The 27,638-nt window shown below is 46.7% G+C and overlaps 1 protein-coding gene, 1 long non-coding RNA gene and 1 pseudogene across 10 annotated transcripts in view, besides 7 other annotated features; 2 read left to right on the top strand and 1 right to left on the bottom strand.

Moving 5' to 3' along the window:
- Positions 1-5,834: 5,834 nt before the first annotated feature.
- Positions 5,835-17,782, bottom strand: LINC00857 (long intergenic non-protein coding RNA 857). Its single transcript, NR_038464.1, has 2 exons — positions 17,261-17,782; positions 5,835-7,473 (listed from the first exon to the last, which is right to left on the bottom strand). It is a non-coding gene; the product is annotated as a long intergenic non-protein coding RNA 857 (long non-coding RNA).
- RPS12P2 (ribosomal protein S12 pseudogene 2) lies at positions 9,370-9,663 on the top strand (annotated as a pseudogene).
- Positions 17,346-18,545: an enhancer, noted in NCBI's record as "MED14-independent group 3 enhancer chr10:81966703-81967902 (GRCh37/hg19 assembly coordinates)". NCBI's record gives its function as "activates an origin of replication core promoter dependent on BRD2, BRD4, P300/CBP and CDK7 cofactors, and independent of MED14, by STARR-seq in HCT116 cells {active_cell/tissue: HCT116}" and the evidence as "EXISTENCE:reporter gene assay evidence [ECO:0000049][PMID:35650434]".
- Positions 17,346-18,957: a biological region, named in NCBI's record as "MED14-independent group 3 enhancer GRCh37_chr10:81966703-81967902".
- Positions 17,674-18,315: an enhancer, noted in NCBI's record as "H3K27ac-H3K4me1 hESC enhancer chr10:81966933-81967574 (GRCh37/hg19 assembly coordinates)". NCBI's record gives its function as "activates a minimal SCP1, AML or CMV promoter by ChIP-STARR-seq in naive H9 embryonic stem cells {active_cell/tissue: H9 hESC(naive)}" and the evidence as "EXISTENCE:reporter gene assay evidence [ECO:0000049][PMID:30033119]".
- Positions 18,316-18,957: an enhancer, noted in NCBI's record as "H3K27ac-H3K4me1 hESC enhancer chr10:81966291-81966932 (GRCh37/hg19 assembly coordinates)". NCBI's record gives its function as "activates a minimal SCP1, AML or CMV promoter by ChIP-STARR-seq in naive H9 embryonic stem cells {active_cell/tissue: H9 hESC(naive)}" and the evidence as "EXISTENCE:reporter gene assay evidence [ECO:0000049][PMID:30033119]".
- ANXA11 (annexin A11) overlaps positions 19,684-27,638 on the top strand; it is a 54,920-nt gene continuing 46,965 nt past the window's right edge. For 6 of the 9 annotated variants that reach the window (NM_001157.3, NM_145868.2, NM_001278409.2 and 3 more), the window contains exon 1: positions 19,955-20,149. The gene's annotated coding sequence lies outside the window, so the exon portion shown is untranslated. Of the gene's footprint in view, positions 19,873-19,954; positions 20,150-21,000; positions 21,254-24,098; positions 24,234-27,638 lie in introns of those variants that run through there. The other 3 variants (NM_001278407.2, XM_047425140.1, NM_001278408.2) reach the window with 3 other exon arrangements.
- Positions 19,732-20,611: a silencer, noted in NCBI's record as "silent region_2544". NCBI's record gives its function as "represses an Ori minimal core promoter by ATAC-STARR-seq in GM12878 lymphoblastoid cells {active_cell/tissue: GM12878}" and the evidence as "EXISTENCE:reporter gene assay evidence [ECO:0000049][PMID:35858748]".
- Positions 21,597-21,676: an enhancer, noted in NCBI's record as "active region_3651". NCBI's record gives its function as "activates an Ori minimal core promoter by ATAC-STARR-seq in GM12878 lymphoblastoid cells {active_cell/tissue: GM12878}" and the evidence as "EXISTENCE:reporter gene assay evidence [ECO:0000049][PMID:35858748]".
- Positions 22,177-22,266: an enhancer, noted in NCBI's record as "active region_3650". NCBI's record gives its function as "activates an Ori minimal core promoter by ATAC-STARR-seq in GM12878 lymphoblastoid cells {active_cell/tissue: GM12878}" and the evidence as "EXISTENCE:reporter gene assay evidence [ECO:0000049][PMID:35858748]".

The raw sequence follows: 27,638 nt of genomic DNA, 5'->3' as shown, positions 1-27,638 counted from the left end.
AGGAAGAAGAAGAAGGAGAAGGAGAAGGAGAAGGAGAAGGAGAAGAAGAAGAAAAGAAGAAAAGAAGAAGAAGAAGAAGAAGAAGGAGAAGGAGAAGGAGAAGGAGAAGGAGAAGGAGAAGAAAAGAAAAGAAGAAGAAGAAGAAGAAGAAGAAGAAGAAGAAGAAGAAGAAGAAGAAGAAGAAAAAATGTATGCATATGGATGTCCAAGCCAGAAAAACAAATAAACCTGGAGACAATGGGAAATAATTTAAATGTCCATCAACAGTAGAATGTTGTAAACAAAATATACAATAATGTGTAAATAAATTATAGAATACTTTAAAGGTAATTACATGGTTCCATTTCTTAAAGTTGGTGGATCCTACAACACAGGTGTTTGTTTCATTCTTCCTTCAAGAAGTCTTTCCAACTCCTCTGTCCCTTCCCTTGACCAGAAGTCACAGGTGGACAGGCGCTTAAAGATCAGGAACTTACCCTTCGGCTTCACAAACAAGGGGACGAGGGAAGGAGACACATGTCAGGACTTCCCTTGAAACCCTCCTCTTTGTCTGCATAGGATGCCCTCCTCTTTTCCTTCTCAGTAACTGTCTGTCAACATCCTCTTCATCTTTTAAGGCCCTTCCTTGGGATCCTTAGAGGGCACCCTGGTCCATCTACCTGTTGAGAAAACTGAAGTTCAGAGAGGTTGAAGGGTGAACCTAAGGCATGTAGTCATTGAGAGGCAGCCTTGGCTCTCTGGAATCTGTGCTCTCTTTATCAGCAATATCCGGTGCTAATTTATGTCTGTACCCATGGCACACTTGAAGACAGTTCCTTATAAACAGGAGGTGCTCAGTAAATGCCACCTCCTCCCTCTGGGTCTTTACTGAATTTAAACAAGAGCTTCCAGTGAAATAAAAGAGGATACAAACAAATGGAAGAACATTCCATGCTCATGGGTAGGAAGAATCAATATCGTGAAAATGGCCATACTGCCCAAGGTAATTTATAGATTCAATGCGATCCCCATCAAGCTACCAATGACTTTCTTCACAGAATTGGAAAAAACTACTTTAAAGTTCATATGGAACCAAAAAAGAGCCTGCATCGCCAGGTCAATCCTAAGCCAAAAGAACAAAGCTGGAAGTGTCATGCCACCTGACTTCAAACTATACTACAAGGCTACAGTAAGCAAAACAGCATGGTACTGGTACCAAAATAGAGATATAGATCAATGGAACAGAACAGAGCCCTCAGAAATAATGCCACATATCTAAAACTATCTGATCTTTGACAAACCTGAGAAAAACAAGCAATGGGGAAAGGATTCCCTATTTAATAAATGGTGCTGGGAAAACTGGCTAGCCATATGTAGAAAGCTGAAACTGGATCCCTTCCTTAGACCTTATACAAAAATTAATTCAAGATGGATTAAAGACTTAAACGTTAGACCTAAAACCATAAAAACCCTAGAAGAAAACCTAGGCATTACCATTCAGGACATAGGCATGGGCAAGGACTTCATGTCTAAAACACCAAAAGCAATGGCAACAAAAGCCAAAATTGACAAATGGGATCTTATTAAACTAAAGAGCTTCTGCACAGCAAAAGAAACTACCATCAGAGTGAACAGACAACCTACAAAATGGGAGAAAATTTTCGCAACCTACTCATCTGACAAAGGGCTAATATCCAGAATCTACAATGAATTCAAACAAATTTACAAGAAAAAAACAAACAACCCCATCAAAAAGTGGGCGAAGGATATGAACAGACACTTCTCAAAAGAAGACATTTATGCAGGCAAAAAACACATGAAAAAATGCTCATCATCACTGGCCATCAGAGAAATGCAAATCAAAACCGCAATGAGATACCATCTCACACCAGTTAGAATGGCGATCATTAAAAAGTCAGGAAACAACAGGTGCTGGAGAGGATGTGGAGAAATAGGAACACTTTTACACTGTTGGTGGGACTGTAAACTAGTTCAACCATTGTGGAAGTCAGTGTGGCGATTCCTCAGGGATCTAGAACTAGAAATACCATTTGACCCAGCCATCCCATTACTGGGTATATACCCAAAGGACTATAAATCATGCTGCTATAAAGACACATGCACACGTATGTTTATTGCGGCATTATTCACAATAGCAAAGACTTGGAACCAACCCGAATGTCCAACAATGACAGACTGGATTAAGAAAATGTGGCACATATACACCATGGAATACTATGCAGCCATAAAAAATGATGAGTTCATGTCCTTTGTAGGGACATGGATGAAATTGGAAATCATCATTCTTAGTAAACTATCGCAAGGACAAAAAACAAAACACCGCATGTTCTCACTCATAGGTGGGAATTGAACAATGAGAACACATGGACACAGAAAGGGGAACATCACACTCTGGGGACTGTTGTGGGGTGGGGGGAGGGAGGAGGGATAGCATTAGGAGATATACCTAATGCTAAATGACGAGTTAATGGGTGCAGCACACCAACATGGCACATGTATACATATGTAACTAACCTGCACAATGTGCACATGTACCCTAAAACTTAAAGTATAATAATAATAATAAAATAAAATATAATAAAAAATAAACAAGAGCTTTATAAAACTGTTTACTTTGATGCTGCTAACGTAGAAAATGACCGGCAGGTGGCAGCATTTAGCTTTCCTAGCTCTCAACTTTGCAATTGCCGGTTTAAGGCGAGAAAAGTTGGTTTTTCTTTTCCATTCTCCGAACTCTGCTTGTTGTCAATGCCTGCCAAATGCCCACTGCTCCCATTGGAAGCCTCATCCTACTACCCCCTTGCTGAAAAAGCATCTTGAGCATCTGCAGAAGCTCCAGTTTGAGACCTGGTGGCAGGAGGGGGTACATGGACATGCAATGAGAATATGAACGCTTTTTTTTTTTTTTTTTTTGAGATGGAGTCTCACTCTGTCACCCAGGCTGGAGTAGACTGGCGCAATCTCAGCTCACTGCAACCTCTGCCTCGTGAGTTCAAGCGATTCTTCTGCCTCAGCCTCCTGCTTAGCTGAGATTACAGGCGCCCGCCACCATGCCTGGCTAATTTTTGTATTTTTAGTACAGATGAGGTTTTACCATGTTGGCCAGGCTGGTCTTGAACTCCTGACGCTCAGGTGATCCGCCCACCTTGGCCTCCCAAAGTGCTGGGATTACAGGCGTGAGCCACCGCGACTGGCCAAACATGAAAGCTTTTCCTCTCCACAGAGCCCAGTGAAATGCTGATTCTCACCACAGCCCTGGGATACCATGGGCTGCAAAGCCATCTTAGGGCTCTGCTTTTCAGCTGGGGAAACAGACTCCAAAAGGCAAAGCGATGAGCTCAAATTCACAACAAGTTCAGATTTTCTGATTTGCAACTCTGTGCACTTTCCTGCGTTAGTTCTCTAAGGTGAAATCTACCCTGAAGGCATGTTCTGCCTATATGTGTGGAAAGGAGGCCAGAAAGATTTTTAAAAACCAAAATGCTACATGGTAAATAATAAAGGAACAGCAGAGAAAAGAGTGTTGGGGCTCAGAGGAGCAGACTGCACCATTCAGGGCTGGGGTGGGTGAGAAATTACGGAGTCAGAACTGAGCTGTTGAAAACAGGGGAGCTCTCACCCTTAAAAACAGTCAAGACATGCACAAGAAAAGGAGCAATGGTGGAAATTCTAGATCAGGATGGCAAACGTATGGCTTGGGGCTGCTACTCTCTTTCACCCTACCCTGTCACCCGGCCCGCACGTGCATGACAGACATCAGTAATCAATCATGGGATTCTTTCCCCTTGAGCTCAGGGCCTGACCAGAATCCACTGTGCACAGTGCGCCAGGTTTCCTCTACCAACTCGTAGGAGATGTCACCAGAGGAAGCCTGTTGCTCCTCCTCACCCTGCCCTATTGCCTCCCTCATGGCCACATTTATTGTGCACTTACTGTGTTGGAGGAGTTGTGCTGAGCTCTTTACACACACCTTCCATTTAATTCACTTACCATATTCTTGGGAGTTAGGCATCCTTCTGGTTTTACACATAAGGAAAATGGGGTGTTAAAAGCCTCATAATGCAGAGCCAGGATTCAAATCCAAGCCCACCTGTCTCCAAAGCCCAGCCTGGGAAACTGCTAGATAGGTGGGATAAGCCAGTATGGAAGCAGGCCTGTGGTTTGGGCCTTGTTTAGGCCTGAAGATCAAGACTAACTAGGCTGCAGTGGAGCCTGAGGTCCAGAGAACAGAGGACACTAAAGATGCTTTTGTTTGTTCATTCATTCCTCAACCCACGTTTATTAAGTCCCTGCTACATGCCAGACACCTTGTAGATCCTGGGGGTATAGTGGTCAAACAAGAGAGACAGAACACCCCACCCTCAATCAGGGGAGACTAAGAAATAAGTCAGTCAAATGCATTGTATGTCAGGTGATGTATGTGCTAAGGGGAAAAATGAAGGCTAGAGAGTGGTGGAGAGAGCCACATAGAGCTATATGTGGACTCAGGCCTAGGAGATAAGGGAAGGGATGACTTAGGGGCCTGAGCTTCTTGGAGTGACTGATGCATATCGAGATAAAGGCCCTAAGAAGACGGGTCCTGATGCTCTCAGGGAAAATAACGATGTTGGGGGGTGTCTATGGTGGGGGAGGAAGGAGGGATTGCCAGGAACACATGGAGTTCCAGGGGCCTTCTTCACTCTGACAATGACAATGTGGCCGAGGGAGGGGGAGTCTTACCCTGAATACTCCTAGCTCCTGGACTCTCTCCTTACTCTGGCAGATGTGGGATGGAGGCAGAAAGTCCCACTCATGTGTCATACATTTTTTGAGAATCTAACGAAATAAATTTCGCCAGGTGCAGTGACTCAAGCCTGTAATCCCAGCACTTTGCGAGGCCGAGGCAGGTGGGTCACCTGAGGTCAGGAGTTTGAGACTAGCCTGGCCAACATGGTGAAACCCCATCTCTACTAAAAATACAAAAATTAGCTGGGCATGGCCTGTAGTCCTAGCTACTCGGGAGCCTGAGGCAGGAGAATTGCTTGACTCTGGGAGGCGGGGGTTTCAGTGAGCCAAGATCACTCCACTGCACTCCAGCCTGGGCAACAGAGTGAGACTCTGTTTCAAAATACAATACAATATAATACAATACAATACAATACAATACAGTACAGTACAGTACAGTACAGTACAGTACAGTACAATAAAAACATGACATGTTAAAAAAAAAAAAAAAAGACCGGGCTTGGTGGCTCCTGCCTGTAATCCCAGCACTTTGGGAGGCCGAGGCGGGTGGGTCACCTGAGGTCAGGAGTTCAAGACCAGCCTGACCTACATGGTGAAACTTCATCTCTACTAAAAATACAAAAATTAGCTGGGTGTGGTGGCAGGAGCCTGCAATCCGAGCTACTCAGGAGGCTGAGGTAGGAGAATTGCTTGAACCCAGGAGGCGGAGGTTGCAGTGAGCTGAGATGGTGCCACTGTACTTCAGCCTGGGCGACAAGAGCAAAACTCCATCTCAAAAATAAATAAGAAAAATAAATAAATAAATTTCATTCCTCTGCCCACTGCCAGTATCCAGCCCCGCTGATGAGGCTGGGGTGAGGTGGGGGGTAACTTTTTAGCACCTGGGCCCTTACGTCCAGCAGGGCTGTGAACAGGGACTTTTTGTGCCAGTAACAGTAGAAAATACGGCAACTGGTGTTTGCCACTATCAAAGAGGAACTTGGAGTTTTGTTGAAGGAGCAAAATTGTAACCACCCAAGGGGTTCACCTTGCCTGCTGCCTCGACAGAGCCGATTGATCAAGACAGGGGAATTGCAATAGAAGAAGAGTAATTCACGCAGAGCCGGCTGTGCGGGAGACTGGAGTTTTATTATCACTCAAATCAGTCTCCTCGAGAATTCGGGGAGCAGAATTTTTAAGCATAACTTGGTAGGGGGAAGCCAGTGAGCCAGGAGTGCTGGTTGGTCAGGGATGAACTCACAGGGAGTCGAAGCTGTCTTCTTGCGCTTCGTCAGTTCCCGGGTGGGGGCCACAAGATCAGACGAGGCAGTTTATCCATCTGTGTGGCGTCAGCTGATCCAGCAAGTGCGGGGTCTGCAACATGTCTCAAGCACTGATCTTAGAAGCAGTTTAGGGAGGGTCAGAATCTTGTAGCCTCCAGCTGCGTGACTCCTAAACCGTAATTTCTAATCCTGTGGCTAATGTTAGTCTAGTCCCCAGACAAGAAGGAGGTCTGCATTGGGAAAGGGCTGTCACAGTCTTTGTTTAAACTATAACTACAAACTAAGTTTCTCCCAAAGTTAGTTCAGCCTACGCCCAGGAATGAACAAAGACAGCTTGGAGGTTAGAAACAAGATGGAGCTGGTTAAGTTAGCTCTCTTTCACTGTTTCAGTCACAATTTTGCAAAGGTGGTTTCAAAATGACTATCCATGAGTTTGTAAAATAACCCAGGATGCCTGTTGTTCACAGCACATAGCCTGCTGTGTGTCTAAGCTGATAATCAGCTAGACTCTGGGGAGAGAAAAATGCCAAAAGAAAATGGCCTTGCCCTGCTAGAGAGTCTTCAGGTCTCCCTTTGGATGCATGAGCAATATGGAAGGGAATGGAGAAGGAGGACAAAGAAAAGTCACCCTCCATAATTGGGACAGGGTTTGGAACTCTTGCGGCCAATTCTTTCATGCTGCCTGGCCCCACCTGCCCCGGAGACTTCTGGTGCTTAACGGAGGCTTTCTTCTGGCTGTCCTGGAACTATGAATGGGCCTGCCTTGGATAATTTTCCCTCCAGGCGCTCTCTGCCTGGGGTCTGTGAACACCCTCGAAGTAGTATCCACCATGAATTGTATGAATAATTACACATATGTGCACACTCATGAATACATGGACCCATGCATATGTGTTCACAGCGTTCTTCAAATATCCCCATGATATCTATGCCAGTTACAACTTATTACTTCTCAGCTCCATATTCACCCACTAATACCTGCTCTGTGATAATGGACAGGATTCCCATGAGCATTTCTCCTGTACACTAAGCATAACATGAAGCTTTCTCCGTGGAGGGTGCTGAGAGAACAGTGCAGGTGAAAGGAGCTTCTCTTCCTGGGTCTGGCTGGTGTGAGGAGATCCAGTGGTACTCTGCTCCAGTCACGTGCCCAGAAGATCCCAGGCAACTAGTCTTGTCCTGGCATGGTGATCGCCCTCTTAGTATCCTCCCAACACAGGCACCACGCGATCCATGCCTTCTGTCCGCACTGGAGACCCAATCATTCTACATGCTCATACACTCAACCCAGCAGTGTGGCTCGCATGGGCTGTGGAGGTTTGTTTCCTGCTTGTCCAATAATTGCAACCAGCTCTAGACTATGCAACTCAGCAAATCTCTCTGCTATGTAGGGGGCTGCAATGATACCTTCTCCAACAATGTCTGATCTCCAGCCTGGGGAGGGGGCCCCATTCCAAGCTTGTCCTTCTTGGGTACTCTTCTCCACCTGTAGGGAGAGTAGCCCTATAAGGTTCTCTTTGCATCATATAGTTGCTCTTTTATCATAGCTGAATAATTCTTTATATTAAACTTCCATTGCATGAACCACTTGTGGTTTCTATCCCTTGATTGGAACCAGTCTGATACAGTACTTGTGGCCCCCAAAATATTGAGATCCACCATACCTAGTCCCAGGTAAAACAAAAATATAAAAACTCTCAGGTCATTGCCTAGAACATAGAACACAATCCATTTAAGTAGCTGTTACTACCATGTGTTGGAGATGGAGGTCAGTTGCTGCATAGGGTTGGCAGCTCTGCAGAATCACCTTAGACATTCCCTCTTGCCTGTTTAGCTTGAGCTGCATTCTCTCTGGTATAGCAGTAAAATAACAAGTGGCTAAAGCTATCACTTATGGAGCACACACTTCATCTCAAGCAGTGGACCATGAGTTTTGTATGCACTATTTGCCCCATTTTGCAGTTGGAAAAGGTGAGGATTAATGAAGTTGGAAACTTGCCCAAGTTTTCACAGTTGATCCTGGAAGAGATGGAATTTGAACCCAGGTGTATTCAATTCCAAAAACCAAAGTCTTCACCACCACAATATATTTATTTGTAGCATTTATTGCTGGGTTAAGCTCTGTTCTAAATGGTTCACAGTGGTTATGTAATGTGTTTCCTGCCACAGCAGTGTTTGTAAGCAGTGTTTTATTCTTGTTTTATAGATAAAGAGACTAAATGTCTCAACCAAGGCCTCTCAGTTAGTGAGAGATGGAGGCAGGATTTGAAACTGGCCCCCTGACTCCAGAGCCCACACTGCTAATGTCTAGTATACTGCTTCCCTGGCTGACATAATAGAAGTGAACTTTGGGGTGTGAATGTACCTACCCCTGGGGACTGTGATGGCTGAAACAATGGAAAGCACATGGCATTTGACTCACATGCAGTTCCTGCTGCTCCCAACAATGCCATCCATGTGTGTTAGTAAAGGATAGAGAGCTGGAGAGAAGGGTATAGGTATAGGACCAGGTGTGCCATGTCATCACCCTAACGTACCTAACCCTAACCCCAACCCTAACCCTCAGAGGCAGTGATGGCCTACAGGCACCTGCATTAGGGTGGTTTGGAGGATCCATGTTCATTGCAAACCCTCCCCTAGGGAGGGGGTTCCCTGACACTCAACATCTGGATCTGCCCATGGCAGATCGAGCCACTACGGTGTCTTGCCTATACCCCAGGCTCTGATTCTACCTCACCAACTGTGATTAGTCCTCTTTGTGTGGCCTCATGGTTGTTCACTGATTTGGCTCTAAGACCCTAGCTGCTGATGGGGAGAGGGATATATGACACATTATGAGATCCAGAATATTTGCAGGTTGCTAGGAAAAAGCACAACTATTCCAGATACTGAGGACCAAAGAGCATATTCTCCTCTAGGTGTTCATAGAGAGGCTTCATAGAGAAGCCACATCCTCAACAATATCCCTGCAACAGTTGGGGATCAGTGTTCAAAACCATGCTTTGTATAATGTGTATCATGTCCCTCAACCAAAGCACAAAGCATTAAAAGTCATTCTTCAAGGAGTCAGTGGGAAGCAGTCAAGCTCACAGGTTCATGGCTCTGGCTAAATTGGTAATAGATTTAAGAATATTTGTCCAGAGGATTGAATACAGCATGCACTCTCCAGGCACTTATCCACGAGTAGCATTTCTCTTAGCCAAGCTTTTGAAAAGTATAGTGTGGCTCTGAGGTTGAGATTCTACTTGGAATGCTGGAACTTTCCATTGCCAATTAAGAGACGAGCCATATACCTTAATAACAAACTGAGCTGTGGCTTGACATAGATCCTCGTATGAAAACTCATGCACCAGAAAGAACATTCCTCTCTTTCCCTGCTGCCGCCAAGCGCCAAGCCCACCTTTGTGTGCTTGCATCCAACTGTGATAAGCCTATGTATGTCAAGTTGGTGAAGGCCCATTGTGCTGAACACCAAATCAACCTAATCAAGGGTGACGACGACAAGAAACTAGGGGAATGGGAAGGCCCCTGTACAATTGACAGAGAGGGGAAACCCTGTAAAGTGGTTGGTTGCAGTTGTGCAGTAGTTAAGGACTATGGAAGGAGTCTCAGGCCAAGGATGTCATCGAACAGTACTTCAAATGCAAGAAATGAAGAAATAAATCTTTGCCTCACACATGGAAAGAAAAGAAAAAAGAAAAAGACAGAGAGAGAAAGAAGGAGAGAAAGAAAGAAAGAAAGAAAGAAAGAAAGAAAGAAAGAAAGAAAGAAAGAAAGAGAAAGAAAGAGGAAAGTCAACGTGTTTCTGAAGAGAAGGCCAACCCACATCCCCTCCAAAGTGCATCAGGGGAGTCCCTGCAGGCAGAGCCAAGATTCTCTTCAGGAGGAAATTTGAGAGTTCCCTAACAGGGCAATGAATGGGTAACTGATTCCCTACAATTCCACATCATAAAATGCAATGGCAATAAAAATAGCCCAGGAAAAATGTAAAGCAGGCATGTAACTATATATCTTGTTTGGCTACACATACACATAGGCATGTGCACACACACACATACCTGCGGTCCATCTAATTTTGAGCAATAAGCCCTGTTAAAACTGGTTGTGAAGTGTGCACCCAAAGTAACTAAATGATTTATTGTTTATCATTATTTCCTATAAATCTCCCTAAATTTGGGGTATTTCCATTAAAATGATTATTTCAGATCCAGATTTGGTAGCCCTTGTTTCTGGAGGTCATTAGATAGCAGTATTCATTGTCTACTAAAACTACTCCTAGTCCATGATACCCACATCAGGTTATTTGCATCTGAGAGAATGCCTGACCTTCTGTGTTCCACTGCAGAGCAGGGTGGCGGGGCCCTACCGTATACAACAACCTGCAGGCACAGATACTGATCCTTTGTAGCTGACACTGGTCAATAGCCTGCACTGTGCCTAACAGTTATGTGGGTCAGTAGGAAAGCAAACTAATGGGATATCTCAATATGGTTTCAAGTTAAAAATAAAAGGATCCAGGACACATCTTTGTTTTACCCACTGGAAATTACAAGCAGGATAGTTCATATTTTTCCTTATATATTGTGTCAAAGGCTGGAAGAGGATCAAGAAAAGTCACAAGCCATTTAATATGATTTTTGGCAGGTGTTGTCACAAGATTATATAAATTACAGCAGATGACTGTGTTCTCAGCCTGTGAGCTGTGAATATAGGTCAGGCTTGCAAATTATTAAGCAAAGCCATGCAAATGGACGTTGCTTGCACATGCTAGAATAGGACGACTAACTCGTTCTGGTTTGGCAGAGATTTTTCTTATTTTAGTACTTGTCTTAGTCCATTAAGTGTTGCTATAGAAGAATACCTGAGGCTGGGGAATTTATAAAGAAAAGAGGTTTATTTGGCTCACAGTTCTGCAGGCTGGGAAGTTCAAAAAGTATGGTGTCAGCATCTGCTCAGATTCTGGTGGAGGCTTTTTCTGCTATGTCATAACATGGTGGAAAATCTCAATGGTGAGTGGACACGTGGGAAGAGACAAAACCTGAGGGGCATCCTGGCTTTACAACAACCCATTCCTGCAGGAACATTCCCACGAGAACTAAATCCACTCTCATGAGAGAGCTGGAGTGCACCAAGTCATTTATGAGGGATCTGTCTCTGTGACCCAAACACCTCCCACCAGGCACATCTCCCAACAATGCCACATTGGGGATCAAAGTTCAACATGAGTTTTGGTGGGGACAAACTCAAACCATAGTAGTACTGACTGTCCCATGTCCTGTGAAACCCCTCGGTCCCTGGCAAGCCAGGAAGGTTGGTCACCCTTGCTGGAGGCCTTCCTCCCAGGTGGTGACCCCTAGCTGTGTATTCACATTTGGGGGTGAGGCACAAAACACTGACTGCAGTCTCTGTGGGGGAGCGGGGCTTTTTGACTGACGGAGCTCACCACAGAGTGTCTGAGCATCAGGTCAGCTCCTCATTGAGGAAACCAGCACACATCAGCCACTTGGAGGCCCTTTGTGTGGGACATTCCTTTTCTCCACAAATGAATCCTCCGGACTCTGGCCTATAGATTGTAAATTAGGTTACTCACTCTCTGTGGACTGGGGTCCCATCATTCAATATGTAGATTGTGGCTTAATCCTTGTGTTTAAACTTGTCCTTACCTCCTCCTCCCAAACCTGTGTGGCTCAGACCTCCCATTCTACAGTTTCTTCAGTTCAATTTATATGACAAATAACTCTCCTTTCTCCCCTGGGTGGAGGGGACCCCTGGCTGAAGAGGGTAGAGAAAGTGGCCTAGGGTTTCCACTTATGCCTCTGTTTTCCTGTTTACAGCCTCACACTGTACCTCACCTCTTTAAGTGTGGATCCTTTCTTAGACTCTGGGGGTGAAGTAGCGAGAATCTATTGGCTTCTTCTTATTTTCTCCCTCTGGGGCATCCAAGTGAGAACATGCACCATTCTGCCAAATTACCACTCCTTTGTATACTATCTCCAAAATACGTGTCCAAATTCTTGGTTGCTGTTTTCTCCTCTCTTGTCCCTACTGTCCTTGAAGGATTTTACCTGTGCTCTTCCTCTACTGCCATTTTATTAGGATTTGGGGAGGGAGAGGAAATAAATTTGTGTTGCAAATCAACCATGTTTCATTGGACATCCATTTCTCTAGCAGTCTCTCTTTTGGTAACACCCAGTGGGTGGATGTTGGCACTTCTGGAACTATCTTCCATGTCTATTATCTTTTCTTTTCTACTTTCTATTTATTTATCCAAGTCTGCTGTTTTCAGGGAGGATTCCAATCTTTCAGTTCACTAATCAGCTCTTTAGCTGCATACATTCCACTCCATAGCTCATCCACTCAGGTGGTTTTATTTGTTTAAACTATGAATATATTTTTTGTTTTTTATTCCCATGATCAGTAATACAAAATGAACACATTGTTCATCTCTGACATCCCTAATTGATTCTTTCCTATCCTTTCTTATTTGAGAATATTCATTATACTTACTTCAAAGCACATTACTGGTTGTCTATTTGTTCTGTTTAATCTCCAGATCTGGAGCCAGACAGCTGAGGTTAATCTGTGGCTTCTCATGTTAAGCTATGTGACTTTGGACGAAGTTACTTAATCACTTGACACTTTAGTTTCTTCGTTTGTAAAATGGCAATAAAAATAGTCCTACCTTAAACTCTTATAAGGCAGGACTCTTGTAAGGTATTCATGTGTCTATTGCAAACATAAAATAGTCCCACTTTATGTTTGCAATAGTGCCTGACACATAAATGCTCAGTAAATATTAGCTATGATTATTATGTTTCCTCAGGTGGACGTCTCCCTTTCATGGTGGTGCTTCTCAAATGATATTTTTTGACAGGGAACTCATCTTTACCCATGAAATTTTCTGCAAGAAATCTGCTGGCCTAGCTTGCTGTGAGGGAGGGCTGGAAATCGCTGGATGAGCTTGTGCTCCATGTTGCTTTCAAGGAGAGTGCAGAACAGGCAGAGGCACTATCAGGTGGACCAGCTGTGCTCTCACAGCTGGTCTTTGGGATGTGGCTGCTACTTAACTCTTCCTTGGCTTTGCCAGCCATATGGGGCCCTGTCCTGTCTTTCATTCCTAACACAGTTCATACCAGGAGACAGACACTGCTGTCCTGGTCATCTTGTCTGCCGGGGTGGGGTTGAGGGAGATATTCAGGGTCAATTCATCTAGCTCCTTCCACGGGCATACTTGTTTAACCCTCTGTCAGTAGCCCTTTGGTCCCGAGTCTTGTTCCAGGCATTCACCACCTCTGGGTGTGGAATGCCTTGTTGCTGGTCCCATTATTGAAGTATATACTGTAGTATACCTATAGTATGTCCTTGGCTGCTGCTCATGAGCTGGGCTGCAGTATCAAATCAGATCCTGTCTGCTTTTGGCTTCTCAGAAACGTGTCAGTGCTTCTGATTCTCTGAACATTTCCTGTTATCTTTTTGAGAACACTAATTTTTTTCCTTCCCTGTCATTCCTGGAGGATGGGCCTGGGTGGAGAAATGGCAGCATGTGCTCAGTCCACTATCGCGAAAAGGGAAGTCAGAGAATGTATAGAAAAGATAAGAAGTAAGCAGAATCTTGGAGAATGAGTAGGAGCAGCCAAAGTGAAAAGAGGAGAAAATGCCATTGTAGGCTGGGGAGACGGCCCGAGCGAAGGTGTGCAGACAGGAGACCACAGGGTAGGGCGAGGGGACACAAGCAATGCGATGTTTCAAGAGAGGCGAGACATCTAGAACTTGTGGACTTCATTGGAATAAAATATATCAGACAAGCTAAGATGCAATCAGATACAGTGAGATGCATAAGACATCTCATTTCACACAAAAGCATACTTCTATTTGCAATACTCCTCTAGTTCTGCCTTACTACACAGGAGCTCTAACAAAATACATTTACTGAAATTGCTCAAAAAAGACATATTTATATGTGTGTGTTATAAGTGTATATATTGCACTATTGAGTATGTTCTCTACAGGAGAGAACTTCCATTTTAAATAGGCATGGATGTGAACAGCCGTACATGCTTAAAACTCTATACATATGATGGGGGAGAGAGTTTTCCATAGACTAGTTTCTGGCTCCATACTTGTTTCTCCTCCACTGCTGACATATTTCTGAAAACAGGTGCTGGGGAAATGTTTATTATTTAGATATCATCTCCGACCCTGCTGGCTGAATCAGAACAATATTCCTGGAAGCCCTTCCTACGCTGGAAGACTAGCGGTAATGCAACCACACACAGAAGTGACTGTAAACTACATAAAGCTGTCTCATCCCAAGCCAGATCCTAAAAATGCCTATGACCATTCCAACATGAGGGGCACGAGGAGCAATGAGATGGAGGGGAAATCAGAGTGGAAAGAGCCAGCCATCTTAACTACAGTCAAGTGCTGCACGAGGACATTTCAGTCAATGACAGACCATGTGGGACCATGATGGTCAGGCAGGGGCACATGACAGGCAGGCGGCAGGGGCAGGAAGGACTAGCAGCTCTTCCCTGGCTAGCAGCGGGGGTTCTGCCTCCACCTGCCTCCCCAGGACAGAAGCCAGATGAGCTGGACCATGATGGTCCCTTCAGATTATCATACCATATTTTTCCCGTACCTTTTCTGTGGTTAGGCATGTTTAGATAGACAAGTACTTGCCATTGTGTTACAATTGCCTAGCATATTCTGTACTGTAACACGCTGCAATGGCTTGTAGCCTAGAAGCGATAGGCTATACCAGGCAGCCTAGGCATATAGTAGGCTCTACCATCTAGTTCTGTGTAAGTACACCTGATGACATTTGCACAACAACAAAGTCACATAAGGATGCATTTCTCAGAACACATCCCTGTCATTAAGCAACGCATGACTGCATTTGCACTTAAAATCGCTTACTTTTGCAAAGTCTGTAAAAACATATTACCATGTCAAACATTGTTAAAGCCTTTCCCACCAGGACCTTGTAAAGAGCCCATGCAAGCAAGGGGCCTTGCAGTTTCCTGGTGAATCCGTCTCTATTGACAGCATTTGAAAAATGATTCTGGCAGACAGAAATCCAGCTGCTATCAGATCTCTAGCTGGAATGGCTTGTCAGACTGTGGTACCCCAGCGGGGGACAGAACCCAGGAGAAAAAGCAGGTTTAGAGAGAAAAAGTTCATTTCTTGACATGATAAATTTGAGCTTTTGAGGGATATTCTGGTAAAGGTACTAGTAGGCTGGTATTTATTGATACATCTGTAATTCTTGTACCTCCCTCCTATTAAAGAAAATTCAAACAATCCAAACGAATGCAGGGAAAGAGAAAAAAGAAACAACAAGAAAGCATATTGTACATGATATTTGAAATATTAAGCCACTGGTGTAGCCTGTTTGCTGACTAATTAGAATCTTAGAAAAGGTCCTAGAGGGTCTCCCTGTGAGAAGCATTGACCCTTTTTTGCCAGATCAGAAGAAGGTCAGGAGTGGGGGCACTGTGGGGTCTCAGGTGAGCAGCTATTTACCAAGCAGCATGGAAGAATTCCAGTTTGTAATAATTTATAGGATTTTATCAATGTGTTCTAGATGAATATCCATTTCAAGGGTATATGTATAACACAAATGATGGCAGAAATAAACCCAAATATTTCTGTTATTCTTATCAATGTGAACTGGTTAAACTCACAAATTAGAAATAGAAACTCAGATGAACTTTTTAAATCTTGTAAAAAACAATATGTCATTTCCAAGAGATAAACCTAAGTAACAATACAGAAAGAGTAAAAAAGGAGAAATAAAACATATACTAGACAAATGCTATCTCAGGATAACAATATTTATACAAAAAGTAATAAAACTGAATAAGTCATAAAAGGATAAAACAATATTAATTTGTATAAGCCTAATAATTTGCTCTCAAAATTATAAGGCTGGCCGGGTGAGGTGGTACATGGCTGTAATGCCAGCCACCTAGGAGGCTGAGGCAGGAGGATGGCTTGAGGTCAGGAGTTTGAGGCTGCAGTTATAATCACACCTGTGAATAGCTACTGTACTCCAGCCTGGGAAACATGGTGAGACACTGCCTCTTAAACAAAAATCAAAAAACCAAAAAAAATAGTATAAAGCAAAATCAGACTAAATTAGAGGGAGAAATTGACAAACTACAATAAAAGTGGGAAATGTTAAACCTACTCTTTCAGAAATCAATGGATTGAACAGGAGAGAAAAAAAAAAAAAACCCAGGAGATAAAAGATCTAAATAACCTGATTAGCAAGCTAGATGGAGAGATATAGAGAAAAAAAAACCACATAAAAAGTGAAGAGACGTTCACAAAAATTGGGACAGCCAAAAAAAGTCTGTATATGAGGCCACAAAGGAGGCATTAACAAATTCTAAAAGAACACATTTCCTCATCTCCAAGCATTAAAGTTAGAGATCAATGACAAAATGATTGATTTATTTTTATTTAAATTTTTTTTTGTAGAGGGGCTCTCACTGTGTTGCCCAGGCTGGTCTTAAACTCCTGATCTCAAGCGATCTTCCCACCTTGGCCTCCCAGAGTGCTGGGATTACATGCCTGAGCCACTGGGCCCCTCCCCAAATGATTATTATTATTTTTTAAAAAACTGAAGTTTGAAAACAAAAAAAGAATGGAAAATATACGTCTAAATAATCCATGAATTAAGCATACAATCCTAACATAAAAAACAAAATATTGGCCAGGCACAGTGGCTGACGCCTGTAATCCCGACACTTTGGGAGGCTGAGGCCGGTGGATCACTTGAGGTCAGGAGTTGGAGACCAGCCTGGCCAAAATGGTAAAACCCCATCTCTACTAAAAATTAAAAAATTAGCCGGGTGTGGTGGCGTGCACCTGTAATCCCAGCTACTCAGGAGGTTGAGGCAGGAAAATCTCTTGAACCCGGGAAGTGGAGGTTGCAGTGAGCTGAGATCTTGCCACTGCAGTCCAGCCTGGACGACAGAGCGAGACTCTGTAACAACAACAACAACAAAATCCAAATATGTATAACTAAGTGATAACAAAAGCATAGCATATTAAAACTTGTGATATTCAGCTAAAGCAGACTTTTGAGGGAAATGATAGTCATATATACTTATTAGAAAACAACAAAAGAGGCCGGGTGCGGTAACTCACACCCGTAATCCCAACACTGGCCCTAAAATTAAAATTTTTAAAAAGGAAGCTTATATACCATACTACTCAGAGCTATATAGCACGTCACCATTTTTTACAGTGCACTCACCTTCCCTTACCTTGTATGATGTTTCTATGAGCCCTGGGAAACAATGAAGCAGGGGTGATTTTATGGATTTTTATAGGTCACGTTGAAGATTTTATAGGTGAGAAAGCCGAGGCTCGGAGGATGCATGACTTGCAAGTGTCAGAATCAGAACTAGAATAGATCCCACACATTTGAACACCGAGTTTGGTGTCTTTTCCTTCACACCGCGTTCTCTGGGGGTGCCTGGGCGGTGACCCCTGCCATTGGCCTTGAGGATTAGGGCCTCAGCTCGGGTCCTCTGCAGAGCCTCCTCAGTCCCTAGCAACTTGCTGGCACCTAGCCGGGGCTAAACGCAGGTTTGTTGAAAATTATAAAAGGGTAAGCCCAGGGGTAGCTATTCACCATTCTGGGTTTGAAGAGCTCTGATGCAGAAAGGTGTATACATCCAGCAGGAATTCCACCCTACATGATTTATTATAAACGTGGTATTCTAGGAGCATTCGCTCAGCCACGGAGAAAAATGGGCCTTTCGAAGAAGCTGGCCTTCGCGGTCGCTGTGGGGCGGCAGAGCAGGCGCAGGCGTCCAGGCAGTGGGGGCTGGGTAGGCGCCAGGAGACCTTCCCGGACCAATCCCCGGGCCCAGAGAGAGCGCCTGGAGACCTTACCTCCCCAGGAAATTCACACAGATTTCTTGGGGGCTTCACACCCGCGCCCCCAGTCCCGCCATCTCCTACGCCGCAGCAGGCGCCCCCACCAGGGTAATAACCCACTCTGAGAGTCTCTGGTGGTGCCTCTGATCCTCTGCTCTTCTGTTCCAGGCAGCGTTTTCTCCGAGCGGCTCTGGAGACTTTGGCCTGAGTTTCACCCTCACTCGCCGACTCATGTCCAAAAAATGCAGTCCAGCCCCGAAAGAGAGCCGCGCCTGCTGGTGGGGGTAGGGGGTGTTGGAGCGGCCACGGAATATGACTGAGCGCCCGGGGCCCGTTGTGAGGCCGGGGCCAGGCTGTCCCAAGGCACCGTTCCTGCCCGGCACCAGCACACCTGCCCAGACAGGGAGAAGGTCGGAGCCTCCCCTCCAGTCCTTCCGGATTTTATTGTTCAGAGCGACTTTAAAACGCAAATCGGGCCGGGCGCGGTGGCTCACGCCTGTAATCCCAGCACTTTGGGAGGCCGAGGCGGGCGGATCATTTGAGCCTAGGAGTTCGAGAACAGCTTGGCCAACATAGTGAAACCCCGTCTCTACTAAAAATGAAAATTAGCCGGGCGTGGTGGTGGGCATCTGTAGATCCAGCAACTCAGGAGGCCGAGGCAGGAGAATCGCTTGAACCCGGGAGGCGGAAGTTGCAGTGAGCCGAGATCGCGCCACTGCACTCCAGCCTGGGCGACAGATCGAGACTCCGTCTCAGAAAAAAAAAAAAAAAAAGGAAAATCGAACCAGCAGCTTGTTTGTAACAGCCAAACATAGGCAACAACCTAAATGTCCTTCAGTAAGGAGCTAGGTAATGAAGAATGGTGAAGCGCACGATGGCGCGCAGTGTGCAGTGGATGGGAAGAACCAGGTCTGTTCAGGAGCACTTGTATGGAAAGACCCTCCAAGATATAGTGAGTAAAAAAACATGTTGCAGAAAAGTACTGCAATATCGTTTTGTAAACAATACGTTTATGTAAACACACACACACAGTGTTAAAGAGAGATATTTGGAAGGACACACCTAAGAGTGGGCTGGGGGAGTGGAGGGAAGAGTGAATCTCAATTTTTACTCATTTTTTGAATTTTTTATTTTTAGTTTTTTAGAGACTGGGTCTCACTATGTTGCCCAGGCTAGTCTGGAAGCCCTGTCTTCAAGCCATCCTCCTGTCTTGGCCTTCCAAAGTGCTGAGATTACAGGCGTCAGCCACCACTCATTAAAAAAAAAAATTGTATACCTACCATATATGCATATATTACCTGGGTGACCTTTTAAAAATATGCTTTATTTTTAGAACATCTTTAGATTTACAGAAAAAGTGTGAATACAGGGAATTCTCATAAACCCGGGCTTTTCCTATTATTAACATCTTAAGTCATTTTTATATCTCCGTGGGTTCCTCTTGGCTGTGACAGTGTCCTAGACTTTCCTTGTTTTTGATGACCTTGCTAGTTTTCAGGAGTACTGGTCATGTATATGGCAAGGGCCTCAATTGATTTGTGATGTTTTCCTCATGATTACAGTGGGGTTAGGTGTTCTTGGGAGGAAGACCACAAGCGGTGCATGCAATCAGTATGATTTACCCCTGTCGAGGTCACCTTGACGGCTGGGTGGTTTGTCAGGTTTCTCCACGATAGTCACTGACCGCTCCCTTCCTCACATACTGTGCGTGACCTTCCCCCCTCCACCACCACCGAGTGTTGCTATAAAGGAAATGCGTTTGACCTTTTCAGTGTAAAAAGTTTTCTCGACCTTAAAGAGAGTCACTAACCGACGCACACGGGGCTGGAGAGGACTTAGGAAATGCCCACCCCTGCAGGAGGGCGAATGCGGCTCTGCGCGGCACTGGGCGCCGCAGGGGTTAGGGGCGGCAGAGGGACCTCCGGAGCCCGAGACTTCCTGGAGCAGCTCCGCAGCCGGAAGGCTGCTGCTCCTCGCGGGCCCGCCGTGCCCAGTCCTCATCTTGGGGGCGGGGCCGCGCTCAGGCCCCGCCCCTCCCTTGCACTGCCTCTGGCACCTGGGGCAGCCGCGCCCGCGGAGTTTTCCGCCCGGCGCTGACGGCTGCTGCGCCCGCGGCTCCCCAGTGCCCCGAGTGCCCCGCGGGCCCCGCGAGCGGGAGTGGGACCCAGCCCCTAGGCAGAACCCAGGCGCCGCGCCCGGGACGCCCGCGGAGAGAGCCACTCCCGCCCACGTCCCATTTCGCCCCTCGCGTCCGGAGTCCCCGTGGCCAGGTGAGTGAGGGTCCCGAGCCGGCTGGGGGCCTGGGACCAGGCGGCGGCAGTGCACCGCGGCGCCGCGGGTGAGGCCCGGGGCTGCCTGGCGCCCAGCCCAGCGCGGCCCTGCGGCTTCCTGGTTGCACTACAGGCGTGGGGGTGGGGGGCAGGGGAGGGCGTCGGCGGGTCGCGGGCGGGCCGTGTCGGCCTGGCAGCCCCCTAGATCAGCCTCGGCGTCTGGGGCTGCTCCCTCATGTGTGGTCGGGGTGCACTCGCCGTCCCCCCGGGCTCAGGGGTCGGGGTCTCAGTCTGGGCCTGGGTAGGGCCAGGGGCCGTGACCCTGGGCGCAGGAGGCAACGGGTGGCGGGAGGGGTGCCGGAGGCCCGGCCCCGCAGCCCTGCGGAGCCCTCCAGGGTGCGCGCGCCCTTCTAGGCGAGGCTTGGGGAGATTAAGCAGAGAAGGCTATCTTCAGGAACTTTCCTCCGAAACTGGGAGCACGCACATTCCTGGGAGCTGCTACCATTGCAGTTTATTTGTAAGGAACTCTCCCCAGTGTTTGAGGGAATGCGGGAGCCATCCCAGGTGCTGTGCGTGCCTTCGCCCCTTCCCCAACCTTGATCCCCAGTTTCAGGAAGGGATTCCTGGACTTGTATCTCCCATGGGTGCAGGCCAGGCCCTTAAGACTTAGGTAAAATGGTCTGTTGGTTTAAAGGAGACACGCGAAGTTTGTTACCTAGAGACTTTGGAGGGGAAAAGTTAAGCCAGCCAGTGCTAGCCCAAGCTGGAAACAGTCAGCCCGGGGCATTTCTGTCTCTGCCCTCCAATCCTTGACCTCTCTGTAGAGATTCGGCGTTTGTGGTAGCTCTCCCCTCTGTTCTCTGCGCTGGGCATGGAGTGGAGCTGTGAGGCCGAGCCCCTGCCCTGCCCTGCCCTGCCCTGCCCACGCAACAGGGACTAGGTTTGCAGGGCAGGGCCTGGTATGCTCACCCTTCACTGGCTCTCATTGCTTTCCTCATTCCTTTTATGCGGCAGTCAATTGTTGGGGATTCCAGGGGATTAACAGGGCCCCTTTCCTCAAGGCATTCTTTGTGCTGCAAGGTGTTCCCTGATAAGAGAGGCCAGGTGAGGTGCCAGGGCAGTTTGTTGCCCTGGCATTGGGTGCCCACTACTTCAGGCTCCTGCATACCTTGCTATCTTTTCTTTGACTATTGTCTGTGCTTTGGTTTTTCATCTGTAAAATGGGGGTAATAGTAATCCCTGCCTCACAGGCTTGTGAGATTCAGTGCATTCATTTATTTAATAACAATACAGAGCTCAGGTACGGACCAGTCAGAACAGGTGGTGACTGCTGCACCACACTTGTGTATCCCAGATGGGTGTCACCCACATTAGCCATAAAGTGTGTGAGGCAGGCCTGGGTCATAAATAATCAGGTGTAAGGGTCAATAAATAGTAGCAGTGGAAGGTTCAGCTAAAGTTGAAATGCACTTCTCCTGAACCGTCTTTCTGGCTTAGCTCATGCTAAGCTCATGCTCTCTGTCTTACTGGAATGCCCTCCCTCCCCTGTCTGGCCTAGCATTCTCCACCCTCCTGGGAGCCATCCGGGTGCCTGCTCCCAGCAGGAGGGACGGGATATGCTCTGAGCTCACTCAGCCCTTCTGGCACTGACTCGGTTCTCATCTCTCGCCTTGCATAGTATTTGTGTGGCGGTGTGGCTTATCGCTGCCCTGTCCTCTGACTCTGGAGGGTGGGGGCTGTTTCTGACTTACCTCTTGGTGGCAGCACTCAGGATGGGCCTTGCCTAATGTAGGTGCTCAGAAAATTAGTTGTCGTTAGTTGAACAACAGAGACAGCACAGGGAAGTGGTTTCCCTGTGGTTAAAATATAGGACCTTGAAGGCTGGGTTTGGATAGAGAAACGTGGGGAGGGTGAGATGGAGATGAATTGGGACTAAGAGGTGGGAGTGGAAGCCTCACCTGACGCCTTTATGCATGATACTATAGAAAGGGCCCACCCTGGGTGGATGTGTCTAGAAGGCCAGGATCGATTAGTGATGCCTAGTTCACGTGATTGGGGAGGTGATGTGTGGCTTGGGATGACAGGAGTGGGAGTTGAGACAGAATAGGTTAGTGTGGGTTCTTCTTGGAAATTGTAGAATAGAGAAAAGAAACTGGTGTGGGCAGGAGCTGAATGTGGAACCAAAATGCATGCTGAATGCTGGAACATCAGAGGTCCTGGGACCTTTCTGGTGCACCCCCTCCTTCCTCCTGGATTCACCCCTCTTCTTCTGCTGTCTTTTTTTTTTTTTTTTTTTTTGAGACAGATTTCGCCCTGTCACCCAGGCTGGAGTGCAGTGATGCAATCTTGGCTCACTGCAACCTCCGCTCCCTGGGTTTAAATGATTCTCCTCCCTTGGCCTCCCGAGTAGCTGGGATTACAGGCATGCACCACCATGCCCGGCTAATTTTTGTATTTTTAGTAGAGACGGGGCTTCACCATGTTGGCCAGGCTGGTCTTGAACTCCTGACCTCAGGTGATCTGCCTGCCTCAGTCTCCCAAAGTGCTGGGATTACAGGCATGAGTCACCGTGCCCGGCCTCCTCTCTCTTCTTAGCCACTGTTTTCCCCCGTAAGCCTGAAGCAGTTCCTGGCACTTGTTCCCATGGGGAAGCGTCTGTGTAAGGGTATGCTTCACCAGCACTGCCAAGGAAGTAGACTTTTCACTTTCTCTGGATTTTTCTCTGCAACACCCTCTGATCCCATTGCCCCCAGAATAGTAGGAATTTTGAGTGATACCTAGATAGGAAAGCTCTTAGGATTAATGAAGAAACTGAGATTTTCTTGGTGGGAGTTTGTGCTTTTAAAGGGAGTTGTTGCAATTCAATGGAACTCTGTAATAACCACTGAAACTGTTACACATTAGGCTTACTGACCCTATCTCCTATAACCCATGAAATAAAGACCTGATAGTCACATAGTTGTTTGCTATTTGGGAGGATCCTAAAAGTACAGCCTGAACAGTGACCCAAACCACAGCTGGCCTTGCCCATGCTGATGTGAGGAAGGAATGGGTGGGGGCAACTAAGAAATTGGGGGACAGAGTTCTCTGTGCTAGGTATCCTAGGACAAGCCACCCAGCCACACAGAGACCCCCCGCTTCCCCCCCACAGAACAGTTCTGGATGATAAAATGCCTGCCTGGAATGGAGAATCAGATGAGAAGATGTTTGCAAAGGGGTTTGAGATCAGTTAGCGGGTGGTGATGACAATGTTGATACCGTGGGTGTGTGACTGCCAGGAGCTGTGAAGCAGAGGGTGGAGTGTGCGGTGGTCAAAGCCTGGTTCTGGGATCTCTAGCTTTCCAGGGGCTTAGGCTCCGCCTTAGCAGAAAAGAAGGAAAGGAAATTGAGAAGGAAGTCAGGTGTCCCCTGCCCCTCACACTTGGGGATGGCTGACTTGGAGGACATGAGATGGGGGAAATCTGAGTGAGGGCAGAGAAGAGAAATGTGGAGGCTGCTCACAGGGAGGCTAGGGAGCATATGGCATATCCAGCCTGGGGAGTGGCACCACTGGGGGAAAGGGTGCGTGTGACAGTGGGGAAGGAGTGGTGATAACAGATGTGAGCTTGCTGTGTCCACTAAAAAGGTCACGGCTATTTTTAGGAAGTAGGTGACAAGGCATGTTCCTGTAGAACTGCTTATTACTGAGAACCCACTGTTGGCCTCGCCCTGCGTGGTGTGCTTAAAAGGAGAGACCGCCCCCACTCACCCTAGAGTCATCCACCTGGTGTCCCTGAGACATGGGACACTGGATGAGGACCAGGTTTGGAGGATGAAGAAGATCATGTATTTGGTTTTGGACATGTTGTGTTTGAGGTGTCTTTGAGATACCAAATAAGCTGGTGGGTCTGGGGCTCAGGAGGCGTCTTGGCTAGACAGACATTTGTCTAGGTTGTGTTTGTATTTGAAGTCATGGGCACAGCGAGATTGAAGAACTCACCTCGAACAGCTGAGTAAAGGAAGATGAGCCTATAAAGGACCCAGAAAAAGAGCGACCTGAGAGGGGCCCAGAAAGCCAGGACAGAGTTGTATCCCAGGGGCCAGGGTGAGTCTGCTTCGTGGGATGGAGTGGTCAGCTTGGCATCGCGGCTGTGGTGAGTGATATGGAGGAGATGTGGCTGCCTTCACTGCTTTGGTGGGATGATGTGAGCAGAAGCGAGGTTGGAGTGAATGGGTGAGGAGTAGCAGGACGTGAGGATCTGATGATAGACAGGCTCTGAAATGTTGGCTTTGAAGGCGAAGAGGACGTCGTTGAGGGAGTGTTTGATTCTGTTGCCTCGATTTACCCTCCTGCTCCCTTTCCAATCCCAGAAGGGAACATGTGGATGGCCTGCCACTGACATCCCTCCCCACGGCGCTCCGTGCTCAGGCAGACCTAGGTACCTGCAAGGGTTTGCTTCTTTCACAAAGTGGATTCATTCTCATGAATGAATGAATGAGTGAATGAAGCATGTTGCCCAGGTTGGTCTCAAAGCCCTGGCCTCAAGCAATCCCCCCGCCCCGCCTCAGCCTCCCAAAGTGCTGGGATTACAGGAGTGAACCACTGCACCTGGCTGGTATTAAATTTTCTTTGTGGCCAACTGCATGATAAATATTAACATGTTTCATGGGCGTGAAAGGAGAAAATAGGTCCTCTGCGGGACGCTGACTTTAGATAGATCTCTTAACTTCAGTTACCCTTATATCCCTGCTTGCCTGGCTGTCAGATTCTGAGAGGTATAACAAAAACTCTCACTGTAGTTTTTTAAAGTCCAGCTCTACTTATATTTGTGGGAGTTCTAGCCTTTTGAGTTTGGCTTTCGTGTTTCATGTATATAGGCTTATCAAGCTGATCTTCCTACCTGTCATTTGCTGGTTATTTAATGCCTTTGGTCTTTGGTCTTAAATTCCATATTGTCTGTGTTTTAGGAGAATACATGGCCAAGGATCTGGGAGAATCTCTTTTCTTTACAGTCTTAAAATTAATAAATAAGTGCATTTTATAAGATAATAAGTGAAAGGCTCAGAAATTTAAATGCAGGCATCAGAGGACATTCAAGCCATGCCCCTTTAGCTTCTGTTCAGGCTCACATGGAGCGGTTAGTAATCAGGTCTCACTGATGACCATGAGCTCCCTGTCCTTGGCTGTCCTAATGGTTCCCATGATAGCCAGATTTTTAGGAGGGGTGGATAAAATGAGATTTGCGTGCAAACTCCTGGGACGTTGCCTGGGAACCTCTTCTCTCACTTTGCAATTCCTGCCCCTTCCTGTAGGTCCAAGAAGCGGACTGCTCTGCCTCTCATTTACGCATTTCCTTCCTCATTCCAGACAGCAAGATGAGTTTTTGACAGAGTAGCCAGTACAAACACTTCTCAGGGCCAGAAGTCAGAAAGACGCGGGCCCCAAGTCATAAGCTCATCTCTGTGCTTGTGTTTTAAGCCACATAAACTGTCTCAGCGGGCTGGACTAGGCTATGCCTTGTTGTACCCTGAGATCCTAGTGAGTAGTTCTCCAAGTACTGTGTTTACAGATAAAGGCAAATGCCAGAGAGAAATGGCTGGAAAAACCCCTTGGCTTGCTAAGGCAGGATTATCGAAAAGTCTTCAACATATATGTTTTTAAATTTTACATATTTTTTCATTTTTATTTATTTTGAGACCAGACTAATTTTTGTATTTTTGGTAGAGATGGGGTTTTGCCATGTTGCCCAGGCTGGTCTCAAACTCCTGGGCTCAAGTAATCTGCCCACCTCAGCTTCCCAAAGTGCTGGGATTACGGACATGAGCCACTGCACCCAGCCAACCACTGTGCCCAGCCTATTTTTACTATTAATATTTCCACCTCTGTTTTTCTTTGCATTTATTTGGTATGTCTTTGCCCAACCCTTAGTTTTAAATATTTCTTTCTCACTTAAAAAAGTTTATCTTGGCTGGGCGCGGTAGCTCACGCCTGTAATCCCAGCACTTTAGGAGGCCGAGGCGGGCAGATCACGAGGTCAGGAGATAGAGACCATCCTGGCTAACACGGTGAAATCCCGCCTCTACTAAAAATATAAAAAATTATCCAGGCGTGGTAGCGGGCGCCTATAGTCCCAGCTACTCGGGAGGCTGAGGCAGGAGAATGGCATGAACCCGGGAGGCGGAGCTTGCAGTGGAGCCGAGATCGTGCCACTGCACTCCAGCCTGGACGACAGATCAAGACTTGGTCTCAAAAAAAAAAAAAAAAAAAGTTTATCTTGAAGATGGAATCTTCGTAAATAAAATTTGTTTCTCTTATAATCAGAACGTGGTTGAGGGTGGATGGAGGTTGACAGAAGGCAATGATAACAGCAACAAACCTAATTGCATGGTTTCTGTCTTTGGTAGAGGAATTCTGACTGTTGACATACCAGATATACTTGATTTTATTCTTTGCATCTTGCTTATTACTTATTATACTTGCATGCATTCCTTTCCTGATTTTTGCTGTTGGGTTAAGTTTCTCATCGTCATCTTCCCCACGCCACCTGTATTACGTTTCAGGTTTGGTTGTGAATGAAGAGAGGAGCCCCGTCTCTCTCTCTCTCTCTCTCTCACTCACTCTCTCACTCTTTCTTGAAAAATCAGGGTCGAGGTTAAGTGTGTGTTCCATGAGATTGTCTTGGCACCAGGCTCCTTATGGACTGTTGTCCCTAGCATTCTCAAGGGCTGTGGTTTTCAAACTTGAGCATGTATAAGAACAATCTGGAAGGCTTGTTAAAGCATAGATTCTTGGACTGCACCCTGAATCATTCTAATTTAGGAGGTCTGTGATGGGACCTGAGCACGTTAATTGCTTACAGGCTCCCATATTGTATAATGCCGCCGGGCCACATGTTGGGTAGCACCGTCTAGGTGCCTCCCTTAACTGCATGGCCCAAGACAGCTCACTTTCACATCCCCATGGCAGGCCCTCCTAGCTGCTAGGGGTCTGGAAAGCAGTCCTTAGTGGGGGCTGCTGTGTGCCAGGCTATGGTGTGTTCTGTTACTAAAGCAAGAGAGAACAGATGGTTGAGGAGGACAATCAGAAGTTTCTGGAACACCACCCACTGCTCTCCTGAATTTGAAACTACTACTATGCTTATCAGTCTTGCTGTTGGCTAAGCCTGTGTTCCTCAGGTTAGGAAGTGGGAATGGTTTCTCATGACAGTGGCAAGCCCGCAGGCAGTGCAAGCAAGGCAGCTTCTGTTCCTGTGGGCTGGTGCACAAGCTGGCAAGCTGCTGTGGCTTTGCTGATGCCCCGAGAGTCATCTGCTGCTCCCAGCCGTCAGGTCTGGCATCCGCATACTCCATTGCTGCAGCCACCACCAGATCTTCCAGACCCCATGGGATCGAGGGGCCCCCTCCAAGACCCAGTGGGATAGGGGTTATTTTTTTTTTTTTGAGACGGAGTCTCACTCTGTCGCCCAGGCTGGAGTGCAGTGGCATGATCTCGGCTCACTGCAAGCTCTGC

Source organism: Homo sapiens, chromosome 10, assembly GCF_000001405.40.
Source record: "Homo sapiens chromosome 10, GRCh38.p14 Primary Assembly".
Lineage (NCBI taxonomy): Eukaryota > Metazoa > Chordata > Mammalia > Primates > Hominidae > Homo > Homo sapiens.
Note: the sequence above shows the minus strand (reverse complement) of the source record. Positions and strands in the feature narration are given on the sequence as shown.